Source organism: Homo sapiens, chromosome 3 (assembly GCF_000001405.40).
Source record: "Homo sapiens chromosome 3, GRCh38.p14 Primary Assembly".
NCBI classification, from domain to species: domain Eukaryota; kingdom Metazoa; phylum Chordata; class Mammalia; order Primates; family Hominidae; genus Homo; species Homo sapiens.
The window spans coordinates 112,454,163-112,467,031 of record NC_000003.12 but is presented as its reverse complement, the minus strand read 5'-3'; the positions used below and the strand labels follow the sequence as shown (position 1 = coordinate 112,467,031).

At 36.7% G+C, this 12,869-nt stretch overlaps 1 protein-coding gene across 5 annotated transcripts in view, besides 2 other annotated features; it reads left to right on the top strand.

Annotated features, from left to right (window-relative positions):
* Positions 1–3,066, top strand: part of BTLA (B and T lymphocyte associated) — a 35,659-nt gene extending 32,593 nt beyond the window's left edge. For all 5 annotated transcript variants that reach the window (XM_047447496.1, XM_017005748.3, XM_011512447.4 and 2 more), the window contains one exon: positions 649–3,066. In XM_047447496.1, coding sequence (XP_047303452.1) covers positions 649–924 — 276 coding nt within the window. In that variant the 3' untranslated portion in view covers positions 925–3,066. The remainder of the gene's footprint in view (positions 1–648) is intronic.
* Positions 425–940: an enhancer, noted in NCBI's record as "NANOG hESC enhancer chr3:112184939-112185454 (GRCh37/hg19 assembly coordinates)". NCBI's record gives its function as "activates a minimal SCP1, AML or CMV promoter by ChIP-STARR-seq in primed H9 embryonic stem cells {active_cell/tissue: H9 hESC(primed)}" and the evidence as "EXISTENCE:reporter gene assay evidence [ECO:0000049][PMID:30033119]".
* Positions 3,378–3,517: an enhancer, noted in NCBI's record as "active region_20240". NCBI's record gives its function as "activates an Ori minimal core promoter by ATAC-STARR-seq in GM12878 lymphoblastoid cells {active_cell/tissue: GM12878}" and the evidence as "EXISTENCE:reporter gene assay evidence [ECO:0000049][PMID:35858748]".

The window sequence follows — 12,869 nt, the reverse complement described above, 5'->3', positions numbered from 1 at the left end:
GAGCCGAGATCGCACCACTGCACTCCAGCCTGGGCTATAGGCAAGACTCCGTCTCAAAAAAAAAAAAAAAAAAGAAGAATTTTCTTTTGATAGGAATAACAACTGGAATACTGTTTTGGAACTTTTTCTAAGCTTTATCTTTCCAAAACTGACATCAATTTTTTAATTTAAGGTCTCAAATTATAATAATATATCTTGGCTAACTCATAATATTTATTGTTTCTGCCCTCTTAGGGGGTATTTGTTCTGCTTTATCCTTAATCTTTTTATTCTAAACTGCATTAAATACTATTCATCATGTTATAAACTGCCTGAAGTTTTCATAGGATATTTTTTGCTTTTTCCATCAATTTGGGCTATGCTTTTTATCTTGAAGGGGGATTAAAAAATGTTCTGTGACCTCAAAAGTGACCAGTAATAAAGCACAAAATAACTATTTAGGGGTGACATAGTGATTCTCAAGCCTTTCATCCTTTAATAATTGAAATTTAGCTGAAAGTGTAGATGTCAGCAGAGTATGTGAGGAACAGTAGATTATTTCTCACAATGGACATGACTCCATTTAAGCTTTTCATTCATAGTTTGCTAATGAATATGCACTACCATGGCCGTAAGTGTCACTTAAAACCATCTTTTTTTCTATTGTAGGTTGATGCTCACCTTAAGAGTGAGCAAACAGAAGCAAGCACCAGGCAAAATTCCCAAGTACTGCTATCAGAAACTGGAATTTATGATAATGACCCTGACCTTTGTTTCAGGATGCAGGAAGGGTCTGAAGTTTATTCTAATCCATGCCTGGAAGAAAACAAACCAGGCATTGTTTATGCTTCCCTGAACCATTCTGTCATTGGACCGAACTCAAGACTGGCAAGAAATGTAAAAGAAGCACCAACAGAATATGCATCCATATGTGTGAGGAGTTAAGTCTGTTTCTGACTCCAACAGGGACCATTGAATGATCAGCATGTTGACATCATTGTCTGGGCTCAACAGGATGTCAAATAATATTTCTCAATTTGAGAATTTTTACTTTAGAAATGTTCATGTTAGTGCTTGGGTCTTAAGGGTCCATAGGATAAATGATTAAAATTTCTCTCAGAAACTTATTTGGGAGCTTTTTATATTATAGCCTTGAATAACAAAATCTCTCCAAAACTGGTTGACATCATGAGTAGCAGAATAGTAGAACGTTTAAACTTAGCTACATTTTACCCAATATACAAACTCGATCTTGCCTTTGAAGCTATTGGAAAGACTTGTAGGGAAAAGAGGTTTGTGTTACCTGCATCAGTTCACTACACACTCTTGAAAACAAAATGTCCCAATTTGACTAACCAACCATAAATACAGTAATGATTGTATATTTCAAGTCAGTCTTCCAAAATAAGAAATTTTTGCTGTGTCAGTCTAAGAATGGTGTTTCTTAAATGCAAAGGAGAAATCATTTTAGGCTTGATGTAAGAAAATGAAAATAATAAATGGTGCAATAAAAATATAGAATATACCAATTGGATATAGGGTAGATGTTCCACATACCTGGCAAACAAATGCTTATATCTACTCTGTTAGATTGATAAGCAAATATAGGTATTAATGGAGCAGTCAACGTATAGCACATTTATGAGGAAAGTAGAGACTCACTGGGTCACATAGACTAATGGATAGGAATGTGACATAATGCTGCTGAATTAATATACTTATGGGCATCTGAATAGTTTAAAAGTTAGTCAGAATAGGTATCACTGGGCAAGTGAAGATAGCTTAAACTGCTTCATGCTTGACTTGATAGCAAGTTAAAGTGCAATTAATGGAATGGAGGAAAACCCAGAATATTTAATTGGTCTGTAGGGGTCAATTTGCTTTCATTCACCACATCTGCATCTTGCTGTTCTTCTTACTAAGGAATCAGGGCAAATCATCTGTAGTGACATATTTTAGTTTGCTAATCATTTATTTTAAAATACTGAGGTTGCAGCCACTTAAGAGTATAGCAAAAGATGGATTCAGATTTTTGGACTTTCCAAAGTACTTGAGTTAAACTATTTCAAAAATAGCCTATAATTTTATTCAACAGTTTGAGGCTATTCGAATTCTCAGGTGCTGCTACTGAATAATGTAATAGTCTTCATACAAAGTGGATAGCAAAGGTTAAAATCCATTTCAACAAATATGTGAGCTGAGCTGCTGCACAAAGGAATGTGATGTGTGTGTGTGTGTGTGTGTGTGTGTGTGTTAGGTGGGGTGGGTGACAACAGAAATGGTGCACGAGAAACTGATCAAATTGACATTATATTTTCAGTTTGCTTATGAAGCTCAAAATACTAGAGTAAATGGGTCATTAAAGAAAATAATATGTGAAATTATGGAGTTTAGAATACAAGTGGGGTATATATACAAAAAGACAAAACTGAGGTTTTGTGGTGGAGAGATTTTCTTAAGTAACACTGGCATTAAGTTTTAGCTCCTTAGATTTGGGGGTGCAAATATTCTTTTGAGTCACTGTTATTTTGCCAATTACACCTAGAATTTCAAGCAACCAATTCGAGATAGGCTGTTTTAGCCAGGCTGCATTTGTGGACAACTTATGTAAGAAAGACATGTTAGAATAGCTGCTTGTGGTATTCTTAAAAATAGAAACAGGAAATATGGGGAGGATACATTTAGCTGTCCTCTTATCAGATGAACACACGAAATTGAACAGTTCCTTCATGATTCTCTCAAACTTAAAAGCAAAATATTTCTGTCTTATTTAAAATATCCTTAGTATGTCTTATAGTAAAGATAATGCTGATAATGATTTCATCTCTAAGATGTATTAATATATTTGTACTGTTTGCCAAAATCACAAATCATTTATGTTTTTATTCCTTTTCAAAATGGTGTCAGAGACATACATGCATTTTCCCAAATGACTCTACTTCACTATTATTTACATGGCTTATTTCATTAGTTTATAGAGGGTTTGAGAAAAAGAATATGTAGATAATTTAATGGTTTTTCACAAATTTTAAGCTTGTGATTGTGCTCAATGAGAAGGTAAAGTTATTAAAACTTATTTGAAATCAATTTGGCATCTGATTTTGTACCCCAAAATGTGTGGACATGAATAGAATACTGATTCTTAAACCCCCTGACACATAAAAGCGACCCGAATAACTTGCTAAACTGCAGACTATTAACTTGCAGCACTAAGAAATTCTGATTCAGGAGGTCTAGAAAATGGCTCTTTAATCATCATCTTTAAAAGACATGCCAACCAATTTTAATATGTTTCCCAGTGTCCACAATTTGAGAAAACTAGTAGAGGCTAGGTTTGGTATATGTGGTTTATTTGATCAGTTTTGTGCACCAACCAAAACTATCTAGTCCCCAGAATGAATTCTCTGGCGCGATCATATCTATTTTGCTAAATATATAAACTTTTTTCAGAGCACTTTTAGGTTCAGCAAAGCTAAGCGGTGAGCATTGAGAGTTTCTATACCGTCTTCCCCCACACATGCACAGTTTCTCCCATCATCAACATCCTGTACTTCAGTGGTGCCTTTGTTACAATCAGTAACTAGAATTGACATGTCATTATCAACCAAAGTTCATGGGTTACATGAGGGTTCACACTTGCAGTTCTTTGGGTTTTGACATGTATAATGACTTGTATCCACCATTATAGTGATTTACAGAATAGTTTCACTGTCCTAAAAATCCTCTGTGCTCTACTCATTTATCACTCCCTCCAAGCCCCTGACAACCACTGCCTCTATTGCTTTGCCTTTTCCAGAGTGCCGTACAGTTGGCATCATGCCCCATGTAGCCTTTTCAGATTTGCTTCTTTCACTTAGTAATATGCATTTAAGTTTCCCCCATGTCTTATCATGGCTTGATAGTTCATTTCTTTTTAATGGTGAATAATATTCCACTGTCAGAATGTACCACAGTTTATCTGTTCATCTACTGAAGGACATTTTTGTTGCTTCCAAGTTTTGACAATTATGAATAAAACTGCTCTAAACATTTGTGTGCAGGGTTTTAGAAAAACTTCAATTTGAAATTCAGGGGTACATGGGCAGATTTGTTATACAGGTAAACCAGTGTCATGGAAAGTTTGTTGTATAGATTATTTTATCACCCAAGTATTAAGCCTATTAGTACCCATTAGTTATTTTATCTGATCTTCTCCCTCCTCCCACTCTCCACCCTCTAGTGGGCCTTAATGTCTGTTGTTCCCCTCTATATTTCCATGTGTTCTCATCATTTAGCTCCCACTTATTTTTTTTTTAATTTTTTATTTTTTTTTTTGAGACGGAGTCTCGCTCTGTCCCCCAGGCTGGAGTGCAGTGGCGTGATCTCGGCTCACTGCAAGCTCTGCCTCCCGGGTTCACGCCATTCTCCTGCCTCAGCCTCCCGAGTAGCTGGGACTACAGGCACCCGCCACCACGCTTGGCTAATTTTCTAATTTTTTTTTGTATTTTTTAGTAGAGACGGGGTTTCACCCTGTTAGCCAGGATGGTCTCGATCTCCTGACCTTGTGATCCGCCCACCTTGGCCTCCCAAAGTGCTGGGATTACAGGCTTGAGCCACTGCGCCCGGCCATTTAGCTCCCACTTATAAGTGAGAACATGCAATAGTCTTTAGTTTGCTAAGGGTAATGGCTTCTAGTTCCATCGATGTTCCTGAAAAGGACATGATCTCATTCTTTTTCATGGCTGCATAGTGTTTCATGGTGTATATGTACCACATTTTCTTTATCCAGTCTTCCATTAATGGACATTTGGTTGATTCCATGCTTTGCTATTGTGAGTAGTGCTACAGTGAACATAAGCATGTATTTGTCTTTAAAACAGAACAATTTATATTCCTTTGGATATATACCCAGTAATGGGATTGCTGGGTCAAATGGTAGTTCTGTTTTCAGCTCTTTGAGGAATTGCCACACTGCTTTCCACAATGGTTAAACTAATTTACACTCTCACCAACAGTGTATAAGTGTTCCCTTTTCTTCGCAACCTCACCAGTGTCTTATTTTTTGACTTTTTAATAGTAGCCATTCTGACAGGTGTGAGACAGCATTGTTATGGTTATGACTCACATTTCAATTTTCAACTCCTTTGGGTAAATACCAAGGAGGATGATGGCTGGATTGTATGGTAAGAGTATGTTGAGTTTTGTAAGAAATTGTCAAAATATCTTCCAAAGTAACTGTACCATTTTGTATTTTCACCGGCAATAAATGAGACTTACTGTTATTTCACATCCTAACCAGCATTTAGTGTTGTCAGTGTTTTGGAATTTTGCCATTCGAATAGGTGTGTAGTGGTATCTCATTATTTTAATTTGGAATTCCCTAATGACATACACTGTTGTGCATCTTTTCATATAGTTATTTGTAATCCATGTATCCTCTTTAGTGAGGTGTCTGTTCAGATCTTTTGCCCATTGTTTAACTGGGTTGTTCATTTTCTTGTTGAATTTTAAGAGTTCTCTGTATAGTTTTGATAACAACCTTTATCAAATATGTCTCTTTTTCTAGATTGCATGTAGTCTTTTTTTTTTTCTTTTTTAAATTTTAGATTCAAGGGGTATATGTGCATGTTTGTTACATGGGTATTACATGTATAATGGTGAGTGTTGGGCTTGTAGTATACCCATCACCAAAACACTGGGCATTGTATCCAGTAGGAATTTTTCAACCCTCAGCTCCTCCCCACTATCTCCACAGTCTCCAGGGTCTATTTTCTCCATCTTTACATCCATGTGTGCCATTTGTTTAGCTCCCACTGGCAAACAATTTATTTCAGTATGTGGCTTCTCTTCCTCTCAGTATAATTCATAGCACTTATTTCTTATTATGTTTCCTATAATATTAGACTGTGGGCTTCTTATGAGCAAGGACTATGTCACATTCTTCCTCAGTTTTTTAGCTCAGTGTTTGGCGCATATTATGATTAAATAATGTTTAATTAATGAATGACTGTGTTTGCAAAGTGAGTCATCTACTCTCTTGATACTCAAAAGATGGCCCTCAAATCAGTAACATGGGAATCCTTTGGGAGCTTGTTAGTATGTAGAATCTCAGCCTTCACATGCTAAATAAGTATCGACATTTTAGCAAGATCTTCAGATAATCAGTATGCACTTTGATGTTTGTGAATCTTGTGTTCCACTTAACCTTTATGAACCCATCTTTCCCCACCCAAAGTCAGGTGTGGTAGGACTCCAAGTCACATTTATAGGATAGACTAATTTAGAAAGTTCTATTTTAGGCAGAAACAGGAAAGGCCACAAAGTAAAAATGACAAGTGAGAGAGCACAGTACTATTTTATAGAAGTTTTGCTAAACCTGAGAACATGAGAACTGAAAGTCCTGTGCTAGAAATCAACTTACAGTTTCAAAAATAAGTTCTGTGGGTTAATCTTTAAAATCAGGCCCTTATTTTGAAGTTGGTCAGGTGAAACATTCCATGGCAATTGTTTTATCTGCACCCAATTTATAACCACCTATTAGCACCTACCAGTTTGCTAGGTTCTGAGGTTAGTATGGTTGAGAAAGATTTCATTCCTGCCTGACACTGCTTATGGTATAGATGAAGAAGTAGAAGTTAAACAAAAAATTATAATCTCATTGTTGAATTCTGTTGTGGAGATAGGTGCAAAATGTTGTGAAAACACCATCGAATATTAAGTTTCTTGAGTATAAGAACTATGTATATTGTTCACTGTAGTAGAGTTCATGTTTCTGAGACTGAGGGTTTTGAGGGAACCCTAAATAATCACATTCTTCTGGCTCTACAGATTGTTAGCCAACTGAAAAATGGAAGAGTCAGATTGGGGATAATATTAATAATAAAGATGGATTGACAAGCACAGCTTGGGCCCCAAACCAAAATGTGTTTCCTACCCATTCCCCCATCTAAACTTGCTTGACTTTGGGACCCCTTTATAGGAGAGTTATGTCTACAGAAAGATACCTAGCCAGTCATGTGGGGAATGTCAGCCTGCTTCAAGTTTCCTTGATTGCAGATGAGGGTCAGAGATATAACTACAACCTCCTTGCCTTTGATGCAAGACGTTCTTTCAGAGGTTAATGTGGTTAAAAGGGTGAGAAGCTCTGCCCATCACACCAGTATGTTAAATCAATCCTCTTTCTGTAAGGAGAAGCCTGCAAGAGGGCAGATCATAGGAGGACCTTATATCAAAGCTAAAGTGAGAACATGAGGAAAGAGAAACAATGACTTTTTCCTAGATTGGGAATATGGTAAGTAATTGCTGAATGTTAAATTACTGAACTGAATGAATTAAAAACAAGAAACAACTACTTCTTTCAGGGAAGTCAAAAAATGTCATTTGTGCCTTCTCTTAGAGCCAGAAAAAAGGGAGGAGAGAATTTTAAGTGCAGAAAAGAGCCATTCAAAACAGGATGGCACATTCTGAGATTGTTGGCCAGGCAGCCAGTGGCTGTAGAGTAGGTTATGGGGAGGGAATTACAAAATATAACACCAATTTTGGTTGTAATTGCCACTTAAATACAATGTAGGTAGCCAAAGTTCTTTCCTGTATATTATACAAAACATTGTGAAAGATCTATTGGCAACGATTTTCTCTTTAAGCTTCTTGGCTATCACAGATGTGCACAACTGACATGCTGATAAAGGCATAAAATTTATTTTTATTTTAGACAATGTTATTAAAACTTATCCAAGTCTTATGTTTAACAGTTGATAAATGATTTTATTTGGGGTTAAATACAAGGAAGAACAGTATTGAGTAGAATTTTAGCAAACCCTATGAGGTCACAACCAAATAGAGGTTAGAAACCTCAAACTTTCTTATTTGCCATTGACAATCTACCTTAAAACAATTAAAAATGTTAGCTCCAAACTGGATAATGACAGACTGCGTTGTTCTTTAAACTTTTGGAAATGTGTGTTTTCTTTGAATAGTATGCTATAATGTGATTGGACAACATATGATTCCTAAGTTTATTTGAATAATATTGGTGTTTATTATGCATCTTTCAAAAAAAAAGTTAAAAAGTTCAAATTAAGAAGTATTATAGTCAATCTCTTCCAAGGAAGTATTCCAAGTAATAGTGGAGCTGGCCCACAGATTGACTAACTGCTATATGAAATTGAGACCTATGCTTTAGGGCTTTCTATGGCTCGTAATCATATATTTATAAGCACTCCACAATATTTTACCTCTTGTAATTCTTGATGATCCCTTGACAATAATAAAATGTTTATAACAATTGATATCTACCATTTATTTATTGCTTGTCTATGTGCCAAACACTGCTCTAAGTCTTTTAAATGTACAACTTGTTTAATTCTCACAGTCACCTTATGAAGTAAGCGGTTATCATTCTCATTCTACTGATCAGGAAACTGAGGCACACAGTCATCAAGTAACTTGTCCAAGTTCTCATCACTAATAAGTGATAGAAACTAAATCCCAACCTAGTAATCTGATTCCAGAACCTATGTTCTTACCACAGCACCAACTTGAGGAGCAATGGAGAAGAATTTGGGATTGTTCTAGACTCTGTAGTATGCATAAGAAAGCCTTGGATCTGTGCTGAAACCATCTCAGGATTGTCTCATTAAGCCCTGCTTAAGAGTGGTGATGCTTGCAATTGCCCAGTTATCAGCGTTGGGCCATCAGTAGAAGGAAGGAATTGAACTAGGCAAAAATATGGCACTACATTGGAGAAATAATACGCTCATGGCAAGGACAGAGTACAAGATGGTCATCAGGTTGACTATGCACAGGAGGAGACAAAAATGAGCAGTCTACAATCAGGAGGTCAGGAATCTAAATGACAATGTCCAGAGATTAGACAAGTAGTATGAGAAACTAGCACAGAGCCCAACAGCATGAAAAAGGCTGGATTCTGAGCCAACTGCATTTTAATGCAGGAGTCTCTAACATAATTCCCCTTCAGACTGTGTCCTAGACTGAGATGGGCTTAAATCTCCAGATAAAAACAAGTATTCAGATTTGTCAGGAGAAGAGAATTGAAGAATTAGAGAATCTAGAGGTTCCTAACAACAGTGATGGGAGAAGTTATGGAGCTTAGGCAGACCTGACATATTTCACCACAGCTCCCTGCCCCTGGAGAAGCATCGATATGTTGGAAAAACAGGAGAAACAGTGACAAAGTCAAAGAAAGAAGAGACTCAAGGACTTAGGAATAAACCATTGAACCAAAATTGCAGTTAAGGGTAAGTTTCGTCATCTGTAAGCTAAAAATGCACCTTAGTGGTCTTGGGAAAACCAGAGTGTCTTCCATTTGTTAAAACCCACATATCACACAAAATGTCCTAGTTTTAAACTCTTTTCGCTGATAATGCTTTAAAATATACTGACTTTGTGGTATATTTGATTCTACAAGAACCCAGAACAACCTCCAAGTTCAAACAATCTGTTTTTTTAAAAAAAACAAAACAAAACTGCCTATTCTGCATTGTATCTTGAATATCTTAAAGCATCTCAGAAATCTCAAAAAGTGGTACTATTAGTAGATATAACACACTTATCCACACAGTCACACACACGTATACATACAGACATAAAAATTAATAGGTGTATATATACACTTAGTTCAAATAATGAAAACTAAAAATTTTTAAATGGCTGCCTGTTAGAGGGAGGAGAGAATAGTGTGCGATGATTAAGGATGGAAAGGAGACTCCAGTGAATGTACTTTGGTATAGGGTTTGACTTAGAAATAATGAAAATTATTTGCACAATTAAATAATAATACTTCATAAATAAAACGCAATTCCTCAAATTGAAAACAAACTGAAACAAACTTAAATGTATATTAGACTGATGGCATACCACATAGAATAATTATGTCAAGTGACTTCAGTGTTTTGACTATACAAACTTGCAGGGATATATTATAAGAACAGAAAGAACCATAAAGATACTTTAATCTTCATTTTGTGCTTGTCATGGTAATATTGATATTTTTATTTTTATTTTGTTTGTTTCTTTGTTTCTTTTGAGATAGGGTCTTACTCTGTTGTACATACTGGAGTATAGTGGCGTGCTGATAGCTCACTGCAGCCTTGAACTTCTGGGCTCAAGTGATCCTTCCACCTCAGCCTCCCAAAGTGCTGGGATTACAGGAAGGAGCCACCATGCCTAGTGATATTATTGTTTAAAAATAATATGTGGATAATATAGTATACAACAAGTATGTATGTTAATATATTTAGAAATATGGCTTTCTTGTATGCTAAAAATTAACAGAAGTATGGAATTAAAGATTTTAATTAAGAGCCCTGAAATCCAAGTTTTGAATTTATGTATATGAAGTATATACATAAATTCCTAATTTTATTTATTAAGTTGAAAGAAAAAGGGCATGTACATTTCTCTAATCATTAATGATTTTTAAAGCCTTAAATGAAATATTTCCGAATGAAAATCAGTAAAATATTTAAAGAATAATGTACTAGAACTAAGTGAAACGCATCTCCAGGAACAACAAAAACAATACCTCCAGTAGGTAAAAGACAAAAACAACCCTACAGCTCTGTATCATATCCAGAATGCTAAAAAATTGCTCTTCTAGTCATTCATTAATTCACCCAACACATATTTTTGTGTAAGTCTGTTACATGCCAGGCCCTGTGCTAAGCTCTGTGGGGTTCAAACAAATTTTTAGAAGGCTTGTAGCCTGTGAAAGAGCCATAAATAGGCAATTGTCTCACCTAATGATAACTGTGAAGATTAACAGTCATTTGAGTGCTCTGAGAACATGGAAGGGCATCAATCTGGCCTTAGTGTGGTCAAGCATGTTCAGAAGCAGTTTTTCTCATAAGATACAAAATCAAGACACTATAAACAAGGACAGAAACTACAATTTGGTTCTCACAGATGCTTTTAATTAAGAGGTCTTGAAGCATGAAAACTAATGTGAGAGAAAAGCTACTTTTCTCAAACATTCCAAAATCATTGGCCATCCATCAGAATACAGTTGGATATATAAGTAGCTAATTTTATATAATTCCAGCTATGTGCCAGGCAGTGTGCTACAGGTTTTGCATAGTTTATCTCATTTGATCCTCACAACATCCCTATGAGGTAGGAGCCAATGAAAATCTCAGTTGATGAGAAACAGTGCTTAAAGAGGTTGCTCTTTTGCATAAGCCAGTTAAAGTTAGAATTCTGTCATTGGCAAGAAAAAATGTTAATTCATGTATTTACTAAAGCAGGTCCAATTAATGATGCTTTCTGTTTGGAACATTTCATGAATTTTTCCTTGCCTGTAAGATCTTCCACCTAAGATGTGGAAGCAAAGGAGGATAGACCAAGGCTGTGTTGTCATGAGAGCTCGAGCTGCCCATGGCACTGCAAGTGGGGTGCCCATGGGTCATAGGATATGCAACTAAAATGGTACATCAGAGAAGTAGTATGCAGAGCAAATCTAAATCCATGTCCAGGCAGATGGTCCAACCAGGTTGTCTGACTGAAGGGAATAAATGGAGAGAAATGGAAATGGGAAGAAACTGGGTCAGAGTGGGTGGCATGCTTGAAGCAAAGGATAAGTGAAGAAGCTTTGAGGAAAACTTTGTATTATAGAAACATAGTGAAGGTGTTCATCCCTAGAAGATTCTTAATGAAGTCCCAGAAGCTTTCGGATCTTCAGGCTCCTCAACCTTTGGCTCTTTTTTACATTTAAATCATATCTGAGGACAATGGCTTTCAGCTCCAATCAACATTTCTGATGAGGTCTCTGTTAAATGTACACATTGCCAGTGAATATCAGCCAGAATAGGAGACTTTTTTTTATGTGTATGGTTGGGTTTTAAAGAGCCCTGTTGGCTACATCCTTGGTCAGGGAGAGAACTACCTTGCTTGTATAGTTATTTCACCTCTGCATCATCCCACCTCCTGACAATGAAGTTCAAAACATTCCTAGTGACTCCACTACCCCTTGACACCCAGAAAATCAAGAGCGGTTGGCTATTGAGAGAATTTCCTGAAGTGTTTCAACTTGGCTTAGACGCAGTCTTAGCTAATTCCTTTAAAGAAGAAATTTAGAGATGGGGTCTCACTCTCTTGCCTAGGCTGAAACGCAGTATTAGTTAATTCCTGACTGAGAAATGAATTTGTGAACACTCAGCAATAGAGGCAGTAGTCTGTCAAAATATTGTACTCTGAAAAGCCAATTTGCCCATATCCTTTGGTTACAAAACATTTCTCCTTCCACCCACTCTCACTTCTGACCCTGGGAATAGCGGGAAGAGGGCCCTGCCTTATTATTTTGGTCACCTCTCTGTGGGCTATTTTCCTATTTATTCTGGTCAGCCCAATTTCCTGGAGCTGGTCTCTATTCCCAGACCTCCCTGCCCTATTTTGGGGAAAGTTTCTTCACAGGACTTGGCCCTGCCTGATGGTTTCGGTCTCTCTAATTTGGATATCTATAGCCACAGCTCCACTCTTCTTGTCCTTTTAGGACATTGTTTGGGTAAACACTTCAGCCTGGGACTGCAGGATATTGGCTTTATATTGGTTTGGGTTTAAGTGCAGATTCTCAGTGCCTTTGCCAGGGATGCTTTCTCTGCCCTGGTTTGTAACTAGACTCTTCCAAAGTTTTTAATAAATGTTATCACAAAATAAGTGTTGTTATACATAGGGATTTACTTTATCAATGTGATTCATTAAGTTCTCATATTTCTGTTAGCCCCCTGTGCTTTCTGGCTCCCTTCTCTCTGTATGTCACAGAGCCAACTCTCTGTAGTCTCTTTTCCTAAACATCAACACGGATAAGGATAATAATTTGCGCATTCTTCAGCAGGACATTTTAAAGTCTTTGCAATTTGGTTCCAGTTTACACCCCCAGCTTTATCTTTGCCACTTTC